Source organism: Homo sapiens, chromosome 14, assembly GCF_000001405.40.
Source record: "Homo sapiens chromosome 14, GRCh38.p14 Primary Assembly".
Classification (NCBI taxonomy): domain Eukaryota; kingdom Metazoa; phylum Chordata; class Mammalia; order Primates; family Hominidae; genus Homo; species Homo sapiens.
In genome coordinates this window covers 56,258,905-56,285,529 of record NC_000014.9, presented here as the reverse complement: position 1 = coordinate 56,285,529, position 26,625 = coordinate 56,258,905, and the positions used below count along the sequence as shown (strand labels likewise).

At 36.6% G+C, this 26,625-nt stretch overlaps 1 protein-coding gene across 8 annotated transcripts in view; it reads right to left on the bottom strand.

The window, feature by feature from the left end:
- PELI2 (pellino E3 ubiquitin protein ligase family member 2) overlaps nt 1–26,625 on the bottom strand; it is a 183,114-nt gene that overhangs the window by 15,995 nt on the left and 140,494 nt on the right. For all 8 annotated transcript variants that reach the window (XM_011536990.3, NM_021255.3, XM_005267890.6 and 5 more), the window contains one exon: nt 5,753–5,854. In XM_011536990.3, coding sequence (XP_011535292.1) covers nt 5,753–5,761 — 9 coding nt within the window. In that variant the 5' untranslated portion in view covers nt 5,762–5,854. The remainder of the gene's footprint in view (nt 1–5,752; nt 5,855–26,625) is intronic.

The window sequence follows — 26,625 nt, the reverse complement described above, 5'->3', positions numbered from 1 at the left end:
TCCCTAAATAGTATCACCAAATCCCACCTAACAGCTCAAAGTCTTCATCTCTCCCCTGAGCTTCAGACCGGCACACCCAATCTCCACTTGTATGTTTGATAAATATCTCAAATGTAATATATGCCAAACAGAACTTGGATCCCCCTTCACCCTGGGGCTTCCCTATATCAATGACTGACTGACATCCAATTTGCTCAAGCTAAAAGTCAAAACCCAAGAATAACCTGATTCTTCAGTTTCCTCCATGCCCACATTAGCCCTGTGTAAACACTGTCAGCTGTACCTCCAAACACATCCTCAATCCTTCTACTTTTCCCATTTTGGTTCTGGTTACCATTATGTCTTACTTGGGTTCTATCACCTTAGCCTCCAAACTGGTCTCCCTGTTTTCATACTTGCCACCTAGATTCTTTTCCATACAGTAGTTTGAGAAATCGTACAAAAACATAAATCAGATTATACCTCTCTCCTGCTTAAAATCCTCCAACAGCTTCCCAAAATTCCTAGAATAAATCTCAGACTCAACCTGGCCTGAAGGTCCTACCTGTCTCAGCCTCTACCTGCCCTTCCAAGTCCATCTGAGTTCACTGCTGTCCTTCTCCACTGTGATCTTGACTTGGAGCCTTTGCGCTCACTGTTTCCTCTGCCCAGAGGGTTTGTTTATTTGTGGTCTGCCTTCTCCAGATGTAGCCTCCTTGAGAGGAGAGCCTTAGTTATCTCTCCCCAGTCATCAAAGGAGTTTCTGACACAGCAGATGGTCAAGAGATGAAACTAGTAATTGGAAGATTATGACAGGGAGGCTGAATCCTATGAGATACAAACATACCTGCACATGCATGCTCATGTACAATGGTTGTAGAAATACCCACTAGAAAATGTAGATATTCTTTAATATTTTCCTCTTAACTTAATAGATACTAATTAAATGTTATCATCTAAAACTACAGTAAATCAACTAAATTGAAAACCAAACCAAACCAAACCAAACAAAAAACCAAAACCCAAAACTGTTAGGCCTTGTAGCACCGCGTTCGAAGCCTGTGAAACTGTGAAATCTGAGAGAAAGGGCCCCTGAACACCGGCTGCAGGGCCCAGTCAGTCTCCTGGCCCCTAAGGTCAGAAGGCACTTGGCACCACACGTTACTCTAGGGACACTGTAAAGACAATGCACCCCTCTAATTCCTTCCATTAACTATTTTCTCTTTTATGTTTCACTTTCTTGTTAGACTTTTCTTTCTTTCCTTGTTTATGCCTACTCCAGAAAATAATGACCAAGATCTTACTCTGATTATATTAACTAACAATTTCTTATACCTTAAATTCAGATCTAGCTTTGATTTTTCTCCTCAGGCAATAATATTTCTGAGTTCTGAGTCTACTAACTGACTCCAACAGTGGGAAATGCAGCATAAAGCCCTTTCTTGGTTCTTTCTGATATTCTGCCTTTAAATACTCAATTAACCCTAGAAATCATTTTAATGGGAATGACTAAAACGAACAAACTCTCCACACTGAGGTCCATACTTCAGAACTATGAGTGCTGTCGCGCTTTTTGCTCAGTGATTTTTGTCAGTAGTAGGCTTTGGAAATATAAACTTGTTAAAAGGAGGAAAAAATGGAAACAAGCCTGTCTTTTCAAGGTCTTATGAGAGTTGCTTAGTTCTCTGCTTAAAATGATCTGCCACAGATCCTTCTAACAGGTCCAGTGAGTCTGTGAATGTAATGTGTTATATTTCCTTAAGAAACATGTGAATTCTTGCTTGGCTTACCATACTTTATTTAAAGAGGCTGAGCTGGTACTATTCAGAGAATGAAGAGCTCAGTGACCTAAATCTTAGCTCTGCCCCTAATGCCTCTTCTCTTCTGGCCTTAGTTTACATTACTTTTCCTTTCAAACACCCATATTTCTCAGCTATGAAATTAAGAGGTTGGTACAAATCAGTATTCTCAGCATGTGGTTGATGAACCCCAGAGGGTCCCTGAGACCCTGCCATGGGGTCTAGGTACATGAGGCCAAAATTACCTTCATAATAATACAAAGACGTTAACTGCCTTTTCCACTGTGCTGGTCTCTATGCTGATGGTGCTAGAACAATGGTGGGTAAAGCTGCTGGTGCTTTGGCATGATTCAAAGCAGTGGCACCAAACTGTATTAGCAGTCATTGTATTTTTCATTGCTGTGAATTTGCAGTTAAAAATTATGAACTTTATTAAATCTTGAGTCTTTCGATATTCTGTATGACAAAATAGGAAGTATGCATAAAGTACTCAGAAGTTAGTAACGGGAAGCTGAAAAAGTCCAACTAAATCTTTTAATTCATTCTGCAGAGATGAGAGGGAAGAAAGTGAGCATGTGAGTCGAATGTGACTGTTCAACAGTGCGGAATACACTATGTGACACGTACGTCGCTAAAGAATATCTATGAAACTCTGAAAAATTCCGAAGAAACAAGATTCTTCTTAAAGGAATTTAATGTCTCACACTTTGAGAGTACCTGACTTACCTATAACAGGTACCATCACAGTAGTTTTTGAATTTAAGTGGTAAAAAAGTATCACTGACAATTGTGAAATAGGCTTTATTCACTTTTTTAGTATTAAGAATTCTCTCTGTAAAAAAAATCTTTAAAATCTTCACTGCTACTGTAAGTAGTAAAAAAACTTATAAATTGAAAATAATTTTAATGAGTATTAAAAAGATATAATAATAAAGTTCCATAAAAATATCAACAGGGGAGAATATACATATACTTATGTAGGAAGATATTTTCCTTAACAGAATAAGAAGACATTTATAAGATTATATAATGGAATGGCATGGAGAGTAAAACCACATTTAGTATTTTGCCCAAACATGATAAATCTTATTTTTGAGTTCAAACTGGCACTTTAATAACTATTTTTATAAATATGACTATATATTTTATCTAAGATTATTTAGTTTTTAAATATCTAACACATACGCATAGTTCCAAAAATCGAAAAGTGTAAAATATCTCCCTGTATACCACCTGCTCAGTCCCTTTCCCCACAAAGGCAACTGCTACATTCATGTCTTGTTAATCATTTTGGAGATTTTTTAATGCATATAAGCATGATTTAAACCATTTTACCATATTAAATTAACATTTAATAATGTAATATTTCATATTATTTAATAACATTTTATTTAGTAGCATTTTAAATTAATGGAATATATATTACCAATATGACTCCATATACTCAATAATATTAATATTTAACTCATTTAATATGTTTGGAGCTCTTTCTGTGGCTATATATACAGCTTTTCTTTGTTCTGTTTTATACCCTTGGAGGGCTCCACTGTATAGCTGTACCCAAATTTACTGAACTGGTCCACTACTGAAGAACATTTAGGTTGTTTCCAATCTTTTCCTATTAAGCAATGCTTTGAGCAATAACTCTGTACAAATGGCGTTGCGCATGTAGGTAAGGATATCTCTGGGGTAAGTCTCTAGAAAGAAGAGCTTTACAAAGAAAAGAGCTGAGTCAAACTATGTAAACATTTTGTATTTTTCATAGCTATTTTCAAATTGCTACCCCATAAATGCTATACCAATTTATAGAATGTAGGATAATGTCTGTTTTCCCCATATCTTTGACAAAACCTTTTGGATTTCTGCCAATCTGACAAGTGAAAAGTGGTATCTCTATGTGGTTTTAATTCACATTTTTCTTTTTGTAAATGAGGTTGAGCATATTTTCTTATTTTTAAGAGTTACTTAGTTTCCTTTTTTGGTGAACTGTCTGTCAAATCCTCTGCTCATTTGTCTATCTGATTGTAGGTATTTTAAAAAGAGATTTCCAAGAGTACCTTATATATTTGTGACATTAACCTTTTGTGATACAAATTGTAAATATTTCCCCAATTTGTAATTTGCCTTTGGCTCTTCTTATCAGTCTGAGGTGCTGAAGTTCAGGACTACTGCAAATACATTTAAAAACCACATAAAATATTCTTTCTTTCTCAATCAAAAGTACTGAATTAGGTGATCCAGATTAGGCCTGTACTTTACAATGTTACAGAAAATGGAAAAAGAGCTGGTGCATTTCTTTCTAGTCCCATCTCTCTTCCATACCTATGTTTATGTGTGTGCATATAAAAATAAAGCATGAAGTGGACATATGCCTTTTTTCACTTATTTTATTGCGCTTCCCATTTAATAATCATGTAATGGCTGCATGGTATTTTGCATTTAAATGCACCATACTGTAATCATTCTTACCTACTCCTGGAAGTATAGGTTTATTTTTAGTTTTTTACTAGTATATACAACACTACAATGAACAACTTTTTGGTTAAATCTTTGTTCATATTCCTTAATTATTTACGTATAAAAATGACTGAAGTTAGAATTACTGGGTCAATTGGTCTGAGCGCTGAAATTCATGGTAGTACTGCAATGTTGCCCTATAGAAATGTTGCACCAATTCACAGTCCCACCAGGGGGACCAATTCCATACAATGTTTTACAGTGCTGTATTATTTAATATTTTCCAATTAATAGGTAATAAAGAGTATTTTATTATTAATTCATTTGGTATTTTAAAAACTATTTTATATATTTATTGGCCATTTATATTTCTTCTTCTGAGAATTATATGTTTTGTTCTTTGTCCATTTTTGAAAGCATGGGAAAAGTGATTACTGTACAGTAGGTATCAATCCTTTGTCTACTTGATTTGTTGCCCTAATTGTCTCTAGTTCGACTTCTAATTTTTGTGACATTTAAAAAAGAAGTGAAAATGCGTAGGGTAAAATCTATTTCTTCATTTACTATTGATCCTTCCCTATTCCAAGAATATGAATTCTCCTAAGTTTTTTTCTAGAACTTTTTGTTCCTTCAGTTTTATATTTAAATGTTTATTCTCTAGAATTTACTTTAGCAGAGTATGATGTTAGTATCTATCATACTCTTTTGATGTTTGTTTCGACATCATTTATGTAATAATTTAACTCTCCATATGGAAATGCAAAGCCTCATCAATTCCAACTTATGCTTGCTTTTTTCTGTTATTAGTCTAAATTTTAATTGTTTGTTGTTTTAAAGTACTAAATCTGGAATATATTCATTAATTCTCTTTTTTTTAAATTCATTAACTGACGAATGTTTTTTTCCTTCCTTCTGCTCTTTTGATGTGCTTCTAGACTTTATATTATATACCACTAAAACTATGCCCAAACCCATCCTGTACTTTCTTAATTGCTGTACTTTGTCAAAAAAGAACTTTTGAGATAAATGTTTAGTCCCTTGATCTTCTTTCTTTCTCTCTCTTTCCCTCCTCTTAATAATGAAAGCACGTAAGGCATTTTCTTCCGAGTAAGATGTTGGCCTCGTCTTGTCAGTTGTGCTACATGATATTCCCACAGTTATTTCTGAAAAGACCTATAAATGTAGTTTGGATGTCCCTTTCATTCAAATGCTACTTAGAAAGTATTCTGAAAATGTTGGCTTTTAAAAGTGGTTAGCTTTTAAAATTTTTATTCTTGCTTAATTAATGTCTATTTTTATTGCACTGAGGTCTGAGAATGTAGCCTTTATAATTTCCCTTTACAATTAAAGAATTAAGTTTTTTTCTTATTCTTTCAACAACCAAACAGGAATAATTTTTATATTATCTTCAACTCTTTCCCCCTGGACATACTGGGCTGGAAGATCTGATTACATATAAAAAATAGAGAATTAAAGGAAAACGTGCTAAAATTTCTATTAAAAAAGAAAAATATTACCTGAAACATATCCGTATCCTTATCATGTGTGTACTCCACCACCACAGTCTGATTCCTTGACAAAGTGTAGGATATACTGTGTTGACCTTTGCAGCTGATAGCCTAATAATAAAATTTTAAAAAAATCCATTACAATTCCATTTCAACAACTTATCAATTCTGCCTGTAGTTATGAGCCACCACTCTACTGGCAAAGCCCAGCACAAGCCAGCATTTTCCACACAGTCAGGTTTTTCCCCTATGCTCTATTCCGTCAATCACAGACAAGCCAAGAGTCACAATTCTGGTTTTATCAAATATTCTGTCTTAAAGTGAACAATATTTTATTAAATCAAATCAAAGTTTATTTACTAGTTTGCAAGACTCGATTCAATCACATTCTTAGAAAAACACACACTTTCTCCATATTACCTAAACTCAGAAATAGAATTTTTAGACTAATAGAGTCATTTATTTCAAGTTTTAAGATTTCACACAACAGATAAGTCACATATTATTATTTTTCCTAGGTGATAGAGATTATCAGCATCATAAAAGAATCACTGGAAAATCTGTCAATGTTCTAATTAAGATTTCAATATCATAATACACCGTCCTAGCCAATGATAACCATATTTGTATTCTGTTCTACATCTCACTTAAATCTTGTATAAGCAACTAGTTAAGTCAGATATTTACTTTATTAATAAATAAGGTAACTAGCAATTTTATTTTTTTCAAATTTTAGGCCAGAAAAAGCTAATATTCTTTTTCAAATAGCCTAGGAATAATATGATATCATTCTTATTTTGTCCATAGTGATATGTTTGAACAAAAAGTTGTGGTCACATACTTTTAATGTTTCTAAATTAACAAATAAATCGATATAAAGTGGACTCCAAATTATTTCAATTGTGTTCTATTCATTCTACTTCAATCTAACTTATCTTCATTTTTAATCTTTTACATTAAGTATAACAAAATTTTAATAAGCTTTTCTATTACACATTTATTGAATGATGACACTGTATGAAGACCAAGAAAGCATCTAGAAGAAACTGGACACACACAGCATGTTAATGAAAATGTACTAAACATTTATATTTGACTAATGTAATTCCTTACAGCAATAAACAGTAAAACATTCCAAATCAACTCTGAAGTTAGTTAGCCTGGTTAATCTCATGGTTATTTAATAATCTGCCCTGAGGAATTTCATGATTGAGCTGATGTTTTATTTTATGTGCTTCCTTAAGATAATACTTCTTTAACATGGTCAGGAATCTAAAAAATACTTCTTAAAGTACTCAACACTACTAACAGACATCGTCTTAAATTTTCATTGATCTGAGTCAGATAAATTCACTGAGAGTGACTGTTTTTGAAAGCCAAATTTATAAAGAACTATTTTCAATTTAAGTGGATGTAATCTTTGTGTTAATTAACTTTTGTGGTAATCATTTCACAATGTGTATATATATCAAATCATCATGCTGTACACCTTGAATATATACAATTTTTATTTGTTAATTATACCTCAATAAAACTGAAAAACAATTTGTAAAAAGTACATGTTTATCTTAATAGTGAAGAAACCTACTTTAAGAAAAATAATTTATTAAACTCAAACTTATAAAACTAACAATCAGGAGTTGATTACAAAATAATTTATTTTAGGGTTTCCTATAAAGTATCTATTGCATTTTAAATGCATTCAATTTACAAATATATCAACTCCAACACAACTTTCATGGCATATACATATTGCATAAAATGTCTATAGTGTACAAATGATCTGCAAAACAAGGAGTTAACGAGTGCAATAATGGGAAATACTTTTAAAGGTTATACATTTTTGTACAATGGCACCTGCTTAAGTATGGTGTTTCTCAAACTTCCACTCCATTTGCCTGAATTGGAAGGGTTACCTGAACCTGGAGATGTCTGGGGAGCAGCCCTCAAATGGAGTTGCTCATGCTTAAAACAGCTTACCTTAAATTATAAATTTTGTTTTTTATTCCCTAACACATTTGCTATTTTAACATTTAAGTATTTCTCCCAAATTCACTGGGAAGTCATTGTCTCATGAAGACTCGCTCTGGTCACCTGAGGCCTAGCACAGCCATGGACAGGGTGCTCTAGAGTAGTGGTCACCAACCTTTTTGTACCAGGAACTGGTTTTGTGGAAGACAATTTTTCCATGGACTGGATCAGGGGGATGGTTTGGGGATGATTCAGGCACATTACATTTATTGTATACTTTATTTCTATTATTATTACATTGTAATATGTAATTAAATAATTATGCAACTCACCATAATGTTGAATCAGTGGGAGCCCTGAGCTTGTTTTCCTGCAACTAGATGGTCCCATCTGAGGGTGATGGAGATACTGACAGATCATCAGGCATTAGATTCTCATAAGGAACACGCAACCTAGATCCCTCACACACACAGTTCACAATAGGGTTCGTGCTCCTATGACAATCTAATGCCACCGCTGATCTGACAGGAGGCGGAGTTCAACCCGTAATGCAAGCAATGGGGAGCGGCTATAAATACAGATGAAGCTTCCCTTGTTCACCTGCTCCTCACCTCCTGCTGTGCGGCCCAGTTCCAAACAGGCCACAGACCACTACCTTGGGGTTTGGAGATTTCTGTCCTAGAGACACTTCCTCGCCACTTTAGAAAACACCAGAAACAGCCATTTTATAGGCTGCAAGTTGTTACTGGACACAAATTATTGTAAGGTGTTTCATTATAAAAATATTCTTGTGACCCAAACTATAAGACTATGTAGCACATGAAAAAGGGTATTTATAGCGAAAGCATCACATTACCTGGAAACTGCCCACAGCAAAGGGGAGTCTTACCCAAGCCCCCAAAATGGAAAGAAAACACTGATGTAGGATGCTTTGAATGTTGAGCCCATTTAAAGAAAATCTGTGATATCAGACTTCTGCCATTTTTGTACGTTGCTTAAGGCAAATGGCCAGGGTTAGGAAAGGGGAATGCTTTTAGGTTAGGAAAATGCCTTTTCTGTGTCTTTTAGATTAAAAAAGTACTAGCCAAGGGCTGTGATTTGGAGGCCTTGGAATTTGGGGAAGGTATGAAAGTGGGAAAAGAGACTGCAGGCAGAAACAAATCCCATGAAGGTGGGGAGTGGCTCCGGGGCAGCAGGTAATGCACACCCTGCAGCATGGGTGGCTGAGGAACTTCGGAACTAGCATGATAGTCACCTCGAAGTCACTTCCAGTTCTGGCAAGGATTTCCCTCTGGTAATGCTAAGCCAGGAGAAGAGTCCTGACCCTACAAAGGCCCGGAGTACTGGTGCCCTGGGGTCCAACATGCTGCACCTATGGAAAGCAGAAACGTGGGCTGGGCTGGCCTGAAAAGATGAGACTAAAGCCAGGACTGGGATTTGGTGGCAGTAAAAACCAGGGCGCCTAAGGCCACCAGCAGGATCATCGTCAATAAATGGGGAAGTGTAGACTTCCTTCAATTACATGAATTAGGGCTCACATGACCTTGTTTCCATGTATTAAAGTCTAAAATAGAGTCAGATTTAGGTGGTTAGGGGAAATTAAAGAAGAGTTTAAACCTGAGATCAATTTTCACTTTCCTTCTTGGGTCATGTCTTACGGAAAAGTCTGCAAGTACATATGGCATTGAACTTTTTGTTAGAAGTATCAATTGTTCAACAATATTTTTTAACATTTAAAATATGACTTTCAGAAATAGAGTTTCTAGTAAATGACAGATTCACTGACTTGAGCCAATCATTTCCAGTATTTTGGAAATAAAAGTTTCTCCAAGGCCCTAAGTTGTTTTGGAATCTATTTCCAAAATATCAGAAAGGAGAGCAGGTAGGGTCTTTTCTTGGCATTCACTATAACTTAGTTCAAACACAATTACTGTAACATAATGCTGTGACCTTACTACATCAACACAAATTTAGAAAGCTCTTTAACATCATAAAGAAAACCAGCTCAAGCAGCTTGCTGTGTACACCAGGGGTCCCCAACCCCTGGGCCACAGGCTGCTATCAGTCTGTGGCCTGTTAGGAACCACGGCACACAGCAGGAGGTGAGTGGCAGACGAGCAAGCGAAGTTTCATCTGTATTTACAGCTGCTCCCCATTGCTATCATTGCCACCTGAGCTCCTCCTGTCAGATCAGCAGCGGCATTAGGTTCTCATAGGAGCGTGAACCCTATTGTGAATGCGCATGTGAGGGATCTAGACTGTGCGCTCCTTATGAGAATCTAATGCCTGATGATCTGTTACTGTCTCCCATCATCCCCAGATGGGACTGTCTGGTTGCTGGAAAACAAACTCAGGGCTCCCACTGATTCTATATTATGGTGAATTATATAATTATTTAGTTATATATTACAATGAAATAATAATAGAAATACAGTACACAACAAATGTAACGTGCTTGAATCATCCCAAAACCATGTGCCTCCCCGGTCCGTGGAGAAATTGTTTTTCACAAAACTGGTCCCTGGTGCCAAAATGGCTGGGGACTGCTGGTGTAGACAATAATGATTTCCTATATTCACTTCTCTATTGGGCAGCTGTGATGAGAACGCAGGTCGCCACCTCTGTTCTCATAACACTGCATGTGCCTCGAACACACGTTCAGTCTTATTTATTTTTCCACCCCAGCATCAACAGTGTGGCAGGCATTCAATGAATGTCAAACGAATGAATGAATGAATGAATGAATGAACGAATGAACTGCTACAGATACAAGATGAGATTTAGAGTTTCTTTCTTCAGGTCTTCCCCTCACCTTCCCTACTTCTCACTAGCAAAGGTACCAGTAGTGACACTCTCAGCTCAAATGTTTTGAGTCTATAAAAACCACTTTATTACAGTATAAATGTTATTAGGTTAAAATATAACTGGGCAATTACAGATAAACAGATTAAAGAATTTCAGCTTTATCCAGCTGAAGAAATTAAGCCTTACTTTGCAATCCCAGATGCCCAGACCAGATGTGAGTCAAGTATTTTCTTCTCAGCTGAGGATATGTATTTTCTTACAGCTATGCTGCTTGTGTCACAGGCTCAGCTCTGCCAGCCTTTGCCATTCAGGGATGAGAACAGTTAGAACTGGCTGTCCTGCTTCAACTTACAACTCAAAACTAATGTCAGGGAGTTTTGTGAGTCTCCAGACTCTAAAACAAACATGGTTCATACGTCTAGAGAATTTTCTTCCTCTTATAAACCCATATACACACGTAAAGGCACTTATATAAAATGTAATGATAACAGAAGGCAGTATTGCAGGATAAACAATGGGTAACATGTCTTAATGGCAGCCAAAGAATTTTCATCCAAATTTTAAAGTATGAGGGAAATAAATAATTAAATCTTTTATTTGTTAAGAAGCAGTGTTAGCTCTCAACCACAAAGTGAAAGCCAATAGAGAAACTAACACATATCCAGAAAATATTAATTTATTATAGTTATGATTTAGCCCATTTAATTCAAGCTCTATAAGGCTGCTAAGTGAGCCTTTATCAACTGTATGGAGAGAGAAAATGGGATTTATCACTGTGGCAGACACTGTTGGTTGCCTTACTAATGTCCTTTTCCCTGCTGGCTGAGCTGGCTTCCTGCGAAAAAGCCTGACGACATCCACGCTAGCTCTCCCACTCTCCTCTGAGGCTAGCGCATGGAAATGTATCCACTTTCGGCCAGTGGGACTTAGGAGACATCTGGTGTGGAGCTCCTGGGGATGAGAGACACTGAGAGAGACTCCTTCCCTTCTCTGTCACTAAAATATGACATGATGTTTGGAGCTGAAGTAGACCACCTTGCAACGTGAGAGGAAGGTCAAAAGACTCTCACAGAAGTTGGCTCAGAGCCCTGACATCTTTGAGATGCTGAATCAAACGTGGAACTACCTGTCCCCAGACCTCTGGAATAAAAATCAGGGTTTTAGGCTGCTTTTCGTTAGGCATTTTGTCACTTGCAGTGTACAGCATCATTACATGGTTTGGTTCAAACATTTTCTCCTTCTGGGTTTCCTATTTCAGTCAATAGCACAACAGTCACTCACACTTAAAAACTTCATGTCACCCCTGAGCCCTCTCTTGCCACTGTTGTTCACATACAGTTAGCATTATTACCTTCATAATTAATCCAATAGGGAGTCAAAGCCGGGCTGATTTCACTGTATTAAGGCAAAAATCAAATGCAAAACAATGTGTAACATTTCACTTTTTCTCCTCAAATACAAAGTAGCTGTTGGGCAGCCAGTAGCTACAAAACTGATTTATTCCTCAAAGGAATTTTATAATCAGCTTTTTTGCAGCCCTTAACTTTCTGTCCTGAAGATGCTTTTGTGCAATCATCATGTATCATCTGGCATCTGGGCTGGCTTCAGTAGCTTGCTCAATGACCAAGAGAATGCCGTGGATGTGACACATGGGACTTCTGATACTAGGTCAGGAAAGGCTTGCAGCTTCCATTTGCCGCTCTGGGGGTTCCCAGCTGTGGGCAAGAAGCCTGACTACGTACATGCCACTAGGCTCCAAGAAGCCAAAGCCACAGGGAGAGGGCCTGGAGAATGAAATGCCACATGGGGATAGGGAGGCCTGGGAGCACCAAGATGCAGACATGTGCATGGAGAAGCCTCTGTGAGAGTGGATCCTCCAGCTCCAGCTGCCCCAGATGTGGACCAGAGACTGACTACTCAGTGGTGCCCTTCCCAGATTCCTGACCCACAAAATAATGAATAAAACAGAAGGTTTTTGTGAACTCACTAAATTCTGTGGTAGTTTTCTACACAACAAAAGACAACTGAAACAATCAGCTTACAAGGCCTACTGGTACCAGAGCACTTTTTAAAAAATCTTATGTGACTCATCACCCAAGACACTACGGTTATCTGTGTGTACGTCTTACCTACACCCAAGAGAACGGAACAGGTGTGTCTACCATGGCAGGCAGCAGTGTCTCTACACAGAGCAGGGTCTATGTTTCTAATGGAAGTGTTATGTGCTCCTGAATGTATGTTAAGAGGTTGTTTGTGTTTAAAGCAAATATGCATTTTTATTGTGATAATCTCTGGTTAGAAGACTGAGATGTGAAGAAAATTTTGTATTAATATTTAAAATGATTATAGACTACAAAAAGTATCTGTGAATCATTCAAAGTATTGCCAGAGAAGACAAAGGCCACCAAGTGTGTCACATGGACATTTTTGTAGTCCTTAATACATTTAGAGCAAGAATAGAGGGGACACTAGGAAGGCAGAAGAAGAAAATCACCATGTATGTTAGAAACTATGAGGCTGCTTTGCAAACTACATGTATGATGTATACCAAAGAGGTATGCCTTACTAGGTCTGCCTTTGTATACCAAGAGGTATGCCTTACTAGAGTCTGCCTCATTTAAGGGAATGCGGTGTGCATGCGTGTGTGTATGCATGCACGCACATACATGTGCATGCTCGCATCTGCATTTCAAATAAAATGAAATTCTTTTTCTTCAAAGGACACCAATTTTTCTATTATGAAGTCTTTCTTAGTACCAAATGACTCAGGAGTTTAATATCCCTCTTGTCTAGACATCCCGGAAGTTGACTATTATAGAACTGCAGTTATTGTTCCTGGGCCACACAATAGTCTGGCTAAATCAAATGAATGTTTTTGAAATGAGCACACTCTGCATAGTCTTCTTTGTGTGTAGATATAATTAGGGTTGTTTCTGCCTCTCAAAAATAGAGGGCCAGAGATCTGGTGTGGCTTGTATGCTGAAGCAACGTTTTCTAGATACCAAGCTGCTCTGAAGAGCTCTGCACCACATATCTGAACGTGGTGCTCTTCTCTGAGGCTGCCCACTGCACTTGCCTTTCAGGTCCCCGCAAAATGCCTGGGAAGAAAGAGTCCCTGGGGCTGGATGTGCTCTGGGATGAGCATGCATCTCCTCACTCTGCCTGGGCTCACGCGATCTGCTCTCTGTGAAGAAGTCAGAGGTTCTCTAACAGCCTGCCCGATGGGAGCAGGGCTAGGAAACGTCCTGAACGCTCTATTGGGACAGCTAGTGACCTCTTTGTCTTCTAGGTTCTACCAAGAAACGTAATGTACGCTTGTGTTCTCAACAGCCTTCTGAATGATGGCCACAACATGGCAGTATTTAATATGGCATCGCAGACTAAGTATCGGCTCCCCTGCAGATGATGATGTGTGTTTTAGGCAAGTTTATTTTCAGCCACTTTAACTGTTAAATCTAATTGGTAATTTAATATTTCAGTCCACTATAAAATCTAAATAAACAACTATACAAAATGACTACCACAGAAAGGGCCAAACGAAATTGGAAAAATAACTATACTGACCTCTCACAGTGGCTCTGGTTATGAAATACAAACTTTCTATGTCAAGGTGTATTGCTGTAGAAACATTTTAATCGGTATGGGAAAACATAATAATAAAACTGTTTGGGGGTAGGTCTGAGTGGGGCCAATGAGTTGAACCTTTGTTATTCAGAAACAACTTCTGATATTTATGTTTATGGCAGAAAGCTGCACATTTATGAGCAAATGAATGAGTTTACAGCGAGCGTGCGGCAGCCTGGAAATAACTGCTGAATGATTTTACCATCTCGAGCACTGTGCACACTGTGATGTCGGGGCAGAGCAGGGTGAGGACTAGAGGGTATCAAACGTATATGGGCAGGTACTAATTATCCCGTGAGGCATGATACTAACTGCATCTAAAATTGCATCACCTCACTGCAGTAGCCACTGATAATCCAGCAAATGCTTAAACATCGGGCAGAAGAAACATTTATATCAAACTGGCTTTCTCAATATGACTACCTGGTTTTATTCTGCTGAGCTCAAACTTTACATGTACTTTAGAAAAATGGAATAACCACATGTAGATACTGCAGAGATCAACTTGGCTAGTGGACTCTGATGCTGAAAAAAACAACACACTGGACCAGGTTTGAATCTGAGTTCAGCTACTCACCAACCATAACCTCTCTGATCTTTCAACTACTACCTTTATAATTCATCAATAAAGGGAGTCAATGTCAGTAGCACTGATTTCACTGGATTTAAAGAAGAGAAAATGATGTATATAAAACATGGCACTTTCTCCCTTCAAATATGAACCTGTATTTAGAGCAGTTCCCTGCAGTCCATAACATTTTTTTGGACCCCACTATTCTGTTTGGCTTTAAGTATATGCTAGATATTGACTGTATTAATTAGAGATAATCCTGGTATGACAAACATATTTTTCTAGAACTAATGACTATTATGTCAGGCTGACAAGTATAATTAGGCAATAAATCCTCAATCAGTCTGGTTCAATTTGCTACAGGGAAGATGAGGTCTCTGCCATCTTTGTCAATTTATGTTTAAAATATGTGTGAGTACTATTTCTAAAGAGAGGAGGTGGCTAAAGGAATTCACAATTTACGTTGCATGAAACACACTCTTTAAAATATTCTACCTTTTCAAGGAACCATATTTCAAACAAGCGCCGGAACCATGGCCACGATAAGAAAGTCACAAAGTGCTAACTTGGATTTCATCAGAATCAACAGCATTTTCTAGTAAATCAAAATCATAGGCCTATTTGTTAGAGGCAATAGCGTTGAACTCGGCCCTGGGCCACTCCTGAGCCCATCCTGGATTGGTTTACTGAGCTATTCGATAAACCCTGGTACAGAATCTATGGCACGCAAGAGTGCTGGACAGGGCTGGGGCAGGCACGCTCAATCTATCAGCAAGCACAGACACCAGAGAAAGTAAGAATATGTGAGGAGAGTCTGTTTCTAATTTGGGGTCACGCTCAAGTACAAAGAAGCTAGATCTGGTTGGTGGTACCAGTTTCAGAAGATGATCTGACTTGAATATAGTTGGGAAAACATGAACACCAAAGGCTGCAGCCAGAGAGTTGGGCAGGTGACATTCACATGCTTTGTGGACACCTGGTCCCAGGAATCCTACCATTTCCAATTAGATGAAAAGCTCCTTGAGGGTAAGAACTCCAGTCTTTTTAAACCAGCCTTCAATTCCAGCAGTGTACTGTTTCGCTAATAGTACAGATTGGGCTGAATCTCCAATCCAACACGGGCTGGCTGTAGGACTCTGGGCAAGTTACGTAAGTACTCTGGCCTCAGTTTTGTCACCTGTACAAGTGCTGGCCTTGTCCCCAGAAAGGTCACTGCTGTCTAAGAATTGAGTTTCAACTACTATATCTACCCAGTTTATGACAAATTGCTAAATAAGTGAAAGGTTCATATTGAAGTTTGTATGGATTTTTTCATTGTGTTTTAGAACGTATTAAGTCAACCTAATGTGCAATCTATTTTTTTTTTCTTTTTTGAGACAGGGTCTCACTCTGTCACCTTGGCTGGAGTACAGTGGCACAGTCACAGCTCATTGCAGCCTCAATCTCCCAGGCTCAAGCAATTCTCCTGCCTTAGCCTCTTGAGTAGCTGGGACCACAGGCGCACACCACCACACCCAGCTAATTTTTTGTATTTTTTTGTAGAGATGGGTTTTCTCCACGTTGGCCAGGCTGGTTTCTAACTCCTAGGCTCAAGCGATCTGTCTGCCTTGGCCTCCTAAAGTGCCGGGACTATAGGTGTGAGCCATTGCACCTAACCCAATCAATTCTTTTTATTGCTTTATTTGTCCCACATCTTTTGGAAAACAGGGGCAAAGTGTAGCTTTCCCACATAAGAATGCTGTGACTCAGTCACATATCTATATAAACATGTTCACATTACCAATCACACACTGTACATTAGTTACCATAAATGAAAACCAATCAGGACTTTCAAAGTTCTTCTGCCTTTTCGTCTCAGTTTTGAAAGCACACACTTTAATGCAGACTCTGATGGCACCTCCCAACAATGACTCCGTGTAGCAGCTCCCTACAAAGCATGAGACGATGCAGCAGGGGTGCAGATCTGAAAGCGTCACATACCACAGTGTGAGGCAATGCTCTGAAATCACACCCATCTCAACACACACACACAGCAGGCATCGTAACTGCTGGTCACTTCAGGGACTGATCCTGCAGTAAGGACCACCCATGGTTACCTAGAGAAAGGTAGGGAGGGCCACACTCACCTGATAAGAGATGGAGAAAGTGACCCTGAACAACCCCATTCTTTAAAACAGCATTGCATTTGCTTTTGAACATTTTATGTTTCCAGATGTGAGCAAAATGCCGCAGGGGAAGAAATGAAGGTGCAACATTCTTGTGAAATGCCAAGTGCTATAGTAAAAATTAAAATAATGATAGGATTTCTTACTGTACATATTAAGACTAAGAGAGAGAGAAAATCTAACCGTAGTCTCCTGTAAGAAGAGGAGTTGGTAAATTTTGTAAGGAGATATCTATCTAGTCAACAGATAATGCTTTAAAGGATGCATATGAATCACCTGCTGTGACATCCTACATTTACTTCTCTAAATATTTAAGTATTGACATATATATGAGCTACTTGCCATGGGAAGCAAAACTTTGAACAAGTAAACCTAACAAAAATGAATCATAAGTAAAAATAAAGCATCCTGCGAATGACTAAGTTGAAAAAGCAAAATTCCTTGTTGAATAATTCGATTTGCCTATTGCTCTTTCAAAAATGCACTTACTAGTTAAAACAAGGTACATAACTTGTTTCTAAAGAGCACTGGAGAAAAAGTACATAGGCATCCACAATATATTGTGTGTTATAGTGAGTCAGTAGTAAATGCAAGTCCTAGTTTGTTGGCATGAGCAGGCAAACTTCCAAATGCTATAAATTGAATCTGACATAAATCGATTTTATACTAAGATACCCAATGACTTACCATGTAATTGTTTTAATATGTAAGCCAGTTTATCAGCTGTCAAAATGATCCCTTGAGTAACTGAGGAATATAAAGATTGAAACTTACAAGGATAAGCTCCAAAGAAAACAAAATACAACATCCTATTGATTAGTTATAGTGATAGAAGCAAAAGTCCCCATTTAAAAGATGTAAACAAAAACGGGAAGATTCCAATTTTTCCCTCATTTTACTTGAATTTTTTTAAGACTTGGCCTAAATTTAAAATTTGTCCATCTGCTGAAGAATCTCATTTTCTTTATGGAATAAAACCAGATCAATAAGGCCACATTCTAGTTATACAGAACCATGAAAATATTTATTCTCAAAAAGCAAAATATATTTTGGCAGTTGGTATTTTCAAGAGGTTGAGCCTGCTGGAAACATGCAGATTACAATCTTAATATACAAAATTTTGAGTAAAATAATGAATGTCTTTCCTTGGAAGTACCTGCTGCCACGCAATGCCATTCACAAATGTTTTTCTTCAAAGCCTGGATATATCTGGATGTTACTCCTCAAGCATCATTAAACTGAACTTCTTAAAAGGCTCTTTATTAGCTGTGTATTCTTAGGCCATACCCTGAATCTATTTCTTAATCTGAAAAGTACAACTACCTTGAAGGGTTTCGCTGCAAAAACTCAGATGATGTCTGCAAAGTACCCAAAGGACAGTACACAACACATAATTACTATTAGCCAATTATTTTGATTACTATAACATTCATAATCTCTATAACACTTAATTTTATGGGGTCCCTCGGGTTCTTGACTGATTTGTAGAGCAAAAGATATTTTAAATAAGGTAATATGTACACAAGTTACTAAATGTTACCAGTGAATGGTATCTCCCTTCCAATTCCAATCTTCTATCACTAAGAAAGCCACTACTACTAGTTTCTTATATATCCTTCCAGAGAAAAGTCTATGCCTATACCAGCACAGTATACACATCAGAAATGATAGCATACTGCATACAATGTTCTGTTCCCTGCTTCTTTAACACAATAACTTATAGAATTGTCTATATAATGTAGTTACAGTGTTGTCTCATTCTTTTTAATGTATAGATGCAGCATGGTTTATTTAATGCATCTTTTTTAGCAGGCATTAAATTATTTAAATTTTATTTTACAAGCAGTACTGCAACAAATATGCAGATATTCGTTTTGCATACAGGGAAATATATCTATAGGACAAATTCCTAGAAACAAAATTGTTCAATCAAATGGTACATGGTATGTCCACTTCTGATATTGATAGTTATTGTCAAACTACTTTTCACAGAAGTTACACCAATTTGCATTCTCACCAGAAGTATATGAGAGTATGTTTTCCCCACTCTCCCCACTATAGGGAGTAAAGCATAAAATGGCAGATATCTTTACCTTCTGATATGTGAAAAGAGTAATCTCATAGTGCTTTTAATTAGCATTTCTATGAATAAGGCTTTTAAGAATGCTTAAGAGTTATCTCTTTTTTTATTTACTATGAACAGCTTATACCCTTTGCTCAATATTTTTTGGGTTGCTTGTCTCTTATTGACACAGGCACTCTTTATATATTAAAAAAGATTTCCATTGTCTGTGATATGAGTTGCAAATCTTCCCACTCATTTGTGTTTTGACTTTAAAGTGTTGTGGGTTTTTTTGCCATGCAGATTTTTTAAAAAGTTTCTAGAGTCAAACAAATCAATATTTGCTTTATGATTTTTGGATTTTACTTTATAGTTAGAAAAGCTTTCCTCACTCCTAGATTAAGTGAAGAATTCTCCATTTTTCTTTAGTATTTCTATGATTTTGGCTTTATGTTTAGAAATATTACCCAAATGTTTGAACAGTCAAGTGCTTATAAAAAGGTATAGTTTGTTTTCAGCATATGCATGTATCAACAGTTCACTGCTTTTTTATTGCAGAGTATTCAGTTTTAATGATATACCACAATTTGTTCATTCACTTATCTGTTGATGAACTTTGGGTTAGATCCAATCCTGCCAACTTTTGGAATTGTCAGTCTTTTAATGGTAGCCATACATATGAGTGTGTAGTGATATCTCATTGTGGTTTTAATCTGTATTTCCCTAATGATTAATGAGGCTGATAATATTTTCATATGTAAATATGACATCTATATATCTTCTCTGGGGAAGTCTCTGTTCAATTCTGTTGCCCATTTTCAAAAATTGAATTTTCTTACTGTTGTTTTGAGAGTTTATACATTCTGAATACAAATTCTTTATCAGACAAATGATTTGCAAGTATTTTCTACCCGTCTGTGTACCTTGTCTTTGCATTCTCTGAACAGTTTATTCCAAAGGCGTAAGTTCTTAACTTTGATGTCTATTTATCAATTTGTTCTTTTATAAATCACATTTTTGGTTTTATATCTAAGAAATTCTTCCTAACTCAAAATTGCAAAGATTTTTCTTCTATGTTTTCTCTTAGAAGTTTTATATTTAGTTTTATGATCCATGATGAACTACTTTTTGTACACGCTGAAAAGTATAAATCAAATTCATATTTCTGCATGTATAAATGAAACAGCACCGTCTGTTTAAAAGACTATCCTTTTTCAACAGAATTGCCTTTGCATCTTTGTCAAAAACCATGTCCATATATATATGGGTCTATTTCTGGGCTCCACTGTGATGATCTATTTATCTATCTTTACACCAATACCACACTGTCTTAATTACTGTAGCTTTAAAATAAAGTCTTGAAGTCACTGGGAGTACTCCAATTCTGTTCTTATGTTTCAAAGCAGTTTTGGCAATTTTAGGTTTTTCACATTTTCAAATGAAATTTAGAATCAGTTTATTAATTTCTCTTAAAAAAGTCTGCTGGGATTTTGATTGGTATTGTACTGAATTTACAGATTTTGGTAGAATTCACATCACTGTTGAGTTTTCTGATCCATGAACATGGTGTCTCTCTCCACATATTTAGGTCCTCAATTTCTCTCAGCAATGTTTTTATAAGTTTCTGCATAAAGGTCTTCCACATCTTTTCTTAGATTTATCCCTAAGTGCAGTCAATTCTCATCATTCACAGTTATATTCTATCAAGTTGTCATAAATATTGATTTACCGAATACTGAGCCACTGCTCCTAAGGAAAATACAGGATTCAGTTCCTAGGAGCCTCTTGTTGCAACATTTTTGTCAAATGATCAAATAATTGTTTTCTGTGTTTCTGTTTAAAAATACCTCACTTAATATATATTTCTTACAAATAATCACATAATAATCTTTATAACGAAACACTAACCAAGAACTGGGTTTACCATTTTCCTGCCCCTGGGTAATGTGACCATAAATTTCTTTGGCTTTCAGTTTCAGAACAATGGTGTCCACTATGCTTTTTTAAATTGGCTCTCATCTCATGAATTCATACATTTCGCCACTTTCCCATCATTTAGCCACTTTACCATCTTTCCCACAGCTTCCTAATACACTGTGCATATTACTGTAGCACTTTCTAGTGTGGCCTCATCTATGTATTGGGAAATCTCCTCCTCCTTTTTCTGGTGTACTGTATTGTTAATTCATTAACACTGAACTCGCAGTCAAGAGCACATTAACTGAACAATGATAATCTAACATGTAGTTTCTCTGTACGGTACATCAGTGTTCTTGCACCTAGGAATACTGGGGAACACTTCAACACCATGGTTGGGGGAACATTTCAAACAGTGAAATCACCAAGAAAAAGTGAGAAAAACTTAGCACTAAATATACCATGCAAAGAACACTTGTTGACAGTATGAGAACTGAAGCAAGAAGGCAGAGCTTCGCCTAGTTGGACCTCACCTGGGAATGTGTGCCCTGGGCAGGCCACTCACATTTCTTGCCACCGTGCATACATCTACAAATAACTGCAAAAGGACCCTGAGTATTAATTTGGGAGTTACAAGTAAATTTTAGTCAGTAGGTAAATGTGTAAATATGGAATCTGTGAATAATGAGCATCAACTGTGTTTTACATTTTTTATGCTATTGCAAATAGTATTTTAAAAAATTTTTTCAATTTCTGAGCTTCTGTTGTCTTTAAAAAAAATCGTCTGCATTAAGATCTGTGCTTTCTTTGCCTTACCTGTATTTTATATGATCACTGAGAAGGGGCATATTTCTATTCTTACAGCTACTTTTGTGCATAAAACTATAAAAATGTTTGCACCCATTAACTCTCTAATAAGAACAATAAGACTATTTTCATTTTCTGTCATCCTTCTGTGTACACTTTCAATTATTTTTAAACTGTTTATTGCTGTTTGCTTTTTAAACCTTTAAATATATTTATATCTTCCTGTTTTAAGTGATAATTTTTGTCTCCCAGCTATAAAATCTGAGGATATTAGCATGCTTACAGAACCTCTCTCCATTCTTTCCTTCCTTGCCCACCTTTTATAAATTCTATTATTTCTACATTGTCAGAATAATAATATTTACATTCTATTCTGTGGCAATCATTTTCTCATTTGTTTTAGTCCTTCAGATAGAGTGTAATTCAATGTTTAGATGATAGTTTTGCATTCACCTCTTTTTTTTGGCTGAAATTTGTCTTCTGGTAATTTCTTCAGTAAGGGCTCATAAAAATTCTATATCCTGCATTCTTGCATATTTATCAGTATTTGTCAATTGGCTGAATATTTAAAAGAAATGTGGGGTAAAGAAATCTTGGGTCACTAGGTTGGGTGCGGTGGCTCATGCCTGTAATCCCAGCACTTTGGGAGGCCAAGATGGGAGGATCACCTGAGGTCAGGAATTCGACACCAGCCTGGCCAACATGGTGAAACCCTGTCTCTACTATAAAGTACAAAAAAAATTAGCCAGGCATGGTGGCAGGCGCCCGTAATCCCAGCTACTTGGGAGGCTGAGGCAGGAGAATTGCTTGAACCTGGGAGGTGGTTGTTGCAGTGAGCCAAGATCACGCCACTGCACATCCTTGAGCAAAAGAATCAAGGCATTTAACATCAGAGTGTAGAAAATTTATAAACAACCCCCAGATAAAACAGGTCACTAAAAAAAAATTTGGGTAAAAGTTATTATACACAAAAATGGTTTCCCTTGAGCATATTCTATATTAAAACTTTTACATTCTGGCTGTATTTGGTAGAGAATATGATCAAAAGTCAGGGATATTATATAACACAAGAATCAATGCAGTGACAGCAACAGCACTAGGACATCCTGTGCCAGGGGAGAGAGTTAGATCAGGAACAAGGCACTCAGCTTGAGGCTCAGCCCTAACGTCAACTAACCATGAGTCCTTTGGCATGTGACTAAAACCTTACAAATCGGCCAAAGAGGAAAGCCGTGGCACAGATTTTAAATGTTACTTCACATTGTGAGAATACATTCTATCTATGGTAAAGAATTATTTTTATTATCCCATCCTCAGCTATTATTAAAATTAAAATTTACATTTCTTTAGAAATTAATGGCGAAAAGAATTGGTTGTGAGAAACATCTCAAGGAAAATACTCTGATATGAAAAAAAATCTGTGGTTGATTATCTTTTTGCTTATAATAAAACAATCAACAGGAAAAGTCAAATGGCTTGATATTGAATACACTGGGGATTCAGATCTAATTCATTATTAAGTCAATATGACTATTATTATTGATTAAAAAGTCTATCCATGCAGTAGGTAAAATGTTTATTTCTTGGGTGTTACTGTGGAACAAAACTCCTGGAACTGCAGCTAAAAATACCAGGGTTAGTGTTAGGTTATTATACTTGCTGTCTAGCTAAAGCAAGACAAATAAATGAAAGGACAGATTTGCCTTAGGATTTTGCCTGTAAATTGCAGTTTAAAATACACTTGCCCTGCTTCTAGTACTTTTGGAAAGAGATAGAATGTAAATAAATTCAACAAATAATGTGTTGCCCTCTTACGGATAAAGCCTATGCTGAATGGTAAACCCTAAAGACATCACCCACCAAAGCAACTTTTCGAGAGTCAAACTATGTGATAACCAGAGCAGACAAGTCTTATTTATGGGGGACAGAAAGTCAGCAATCTTCAGTCAATATATTTATGTGTGAAGTTTAATCAGATTAGCCATCTACATGTATAAAATCTCCTACATGGATACAACTCCAGCTAACAAATAAGAAACTCACAACAGATTTATAAGATAAATATATACACCTTAATAACCAAATCAGTGAACATTCTGCGTAGTTAGTGCTTTTTCAAGGCATAGTGTTTTTGCATGTATTGTTTTACTGCAGTCATCTGATCCACACAACCACCATGAGGTGAATATTGTTATCTCCATTTTGTAAAATAAGGAAACTGACTTAGGGTAAGACATTTCCTAAGTGGATGGGCAAGTCTATACTGCACTGCATACTCTTTTCTTTGTTCCTTTACAAAAGAATTTCCAAGTTTGGGGGACAGAATTTATATGGACTTTTGTAATCATTTATAATTTATGAGACCATAGGATTGGAAATCACCTTGAAAAGCGATGTAGTTGAAAGCGATGTAGTTCAGTCACCCATCAAATCCTGTTTCCATCATTAGAAAAGAACAACATTAAGAGAAGAGAAGAACCAGTAAAGAATGGTACTGTGCAAATCGAATTTGTAAGAATGAACTCATGAACGAATGAACAGAAACAAGCCGTAAGCAAAACTGTCAGCTGGGGCAGAGAGATCAAGCAATAGAAATGAGTGGCCATTGAATCTGAGTCATCTGTGGCATCACAGGACACAGTTACCAAGTATTAATGCAAGCTGAAAGTGCACATATTATTCAGAAGTTTTTAGAATCTCCTTTACAGCATGCTGCCCTTGTCAATAGTATCCAGTCTAAAAAGTTACCAAACTTGAATAACTGGGAAGCTTCGTGGTGGGTAGACAGCTATCTCCCTGCAGCCAGAACATTTAAGAAAAAAAAAAAAATACCTCAATCCCTCCACATACTAGAGTCCTTCAAATATCTAGAGACAGCCTCACGGTACCTCACCTCACCTCCAGTGATTCCTTCCCTTGGTGAAACATCTCTCACTCATTCTGATTTTCTTCAAAATACATGGCTTCAAATCTCTTTACTCTCCCGGTTATTCTAAGCTGAACATAGATGTGTCCATATCCATTCATTAGGAAGTCACATTAACAGAACTTCATAACCTGCACATGGGCTGACCCCAGGCAAAGTAAACAGTTCTACTTTTGTCACTTCAGAAAAAGAGTGTGTTCGCTTCTTGAGGAATCCATCGTACTATTTACTCACACAAGGATTACCAAATCGTCAAATTTACTTTATGAAAAACTGTTTCCCTACTTTAAAAATCAGCTTTATTGAGGTATAGTTTACATTTACTAACATTCACCAGTTTTAAGTGTACAATTTGAGGAGTTTTGACAAATGAAGAGTCATGTAACCACCACTTCAGTCAAGACATAGAACTGTCCCGTCACCCCAAACAGTTCCTTCATGACTGTGCAGCCAATCCCTGAAACTGCCTGCCTCCCCCAGGAACCATTGATAGGGTTTCTGTCACTATAGCTGTCTTTTCTGGAATTTCATACAAATGTAAACTTAATATGTAGTCTTACATACTCAGTGTCTTTACCAAAACCCTTTGAGATTTATCTATGTCATTATGTGTCTTGGTAGTTTGTTCCTTTTTCTCTATTAGTAGTTATTCCATTCTATGGACATTTAAAGGATATTTATACTATTTCCAGTTTTTAGCTTTCACAAATATAGCTGGGGTTTATAACCCAGAAATGTATATATCTGGGGATATATACATTTCTCCTGGGTAAATACCTAGAGGGGGATTGCTGGGTCATACAGCAAATATGCATTTAAATTTTTTGTCACAAAACAGGCAATCTGGAATTTTTATTGGAATAGTGCTGAATGTATATCAATTTTTGAAAAATTGGTATCTAAATAATATCAAGTGAATATGGTATGTCAATAATATCCAGAAATATGGTTCGTCTCTCCATTTTATTTAGGTCTTCTTTATCTCAACAATGTTTTGCAGTTTATAGTATGCAATATTACATGCATTTTGTTAAATTTATCCATAAGTATTTCATATGCTATCTTAAATGCTTTGCCTTCAAATTTTCCATTCTCTATTACTTATTGCTAATATAGAAGAACTTATTTTTGTACATTGGTCTTGTACCCTACAAGTCCACTAAATGTACTTACTAGTGTGAATAGCTTCTCGTTTTGTTTCTACTGTAGGATTTTCTATGTGCATAATCATACTGTTGTGAAACAAAACAAGTAAGTGTGGTTACCTGTTAAGTTTTTCAAAAACATCCTTTATCAAGTAAGGAAGTTTCATCTATTCCTAGTTTCCTGAGAGATTTTATAATGAACGTTTAACTTATCCAGTACTTTCTGTGCATGCATATGGAGACGATCATACCATTTCCTTTTTGGTCTGTAGAATTACACTGACTAACTTTTGAACGATTAACCAACCTTGTATTCCTGGGTTAAACAATACAAGAATCTTATGGTCTCCTCTCTCTTGTCCTTGATGCTGCTGTCATTTTATCTCTATGCATGTTATAAACCCCATACATTATTATTAATTTGGCTTAAAAGTCAATATTCTTTTAAAGAGATCAAAAATAAGAAAGAAGTGTCTTTCATATTTCCCCTCATTTTTACCACGTCTAGTACTCAGCACTTCATATAAATCTAAATTTCCATCTGTTGTTTTCTCCTTCTGCCTGAAAAACTTTAACATTTTTTGTCGTGCAGGTGTGCTGGTGATAACTGTTTTTAGCTTTTGTTTTTCTGAAATAAAGTCTTTACTTCTCTTTCACTTCTGAAGAAATTTATGCTAAATTCTAGGGTGATAGTCTCCCTTTGTTTCTCCCTACTTCTGTCCGTCCCCTTTAGTACTTTAAAGATGTTGGTCCATGGTCTTCTGACTTGCAGTGTTTCTGTTTAATTTTTTCATTCTTAATTTTGTTTCTCTGTGCATATTGCCTTTTTTCTTTGGATGATTTTGAGATTTTCTATTTATTATTGCTTTTTGGCAATTTAACTGTCATG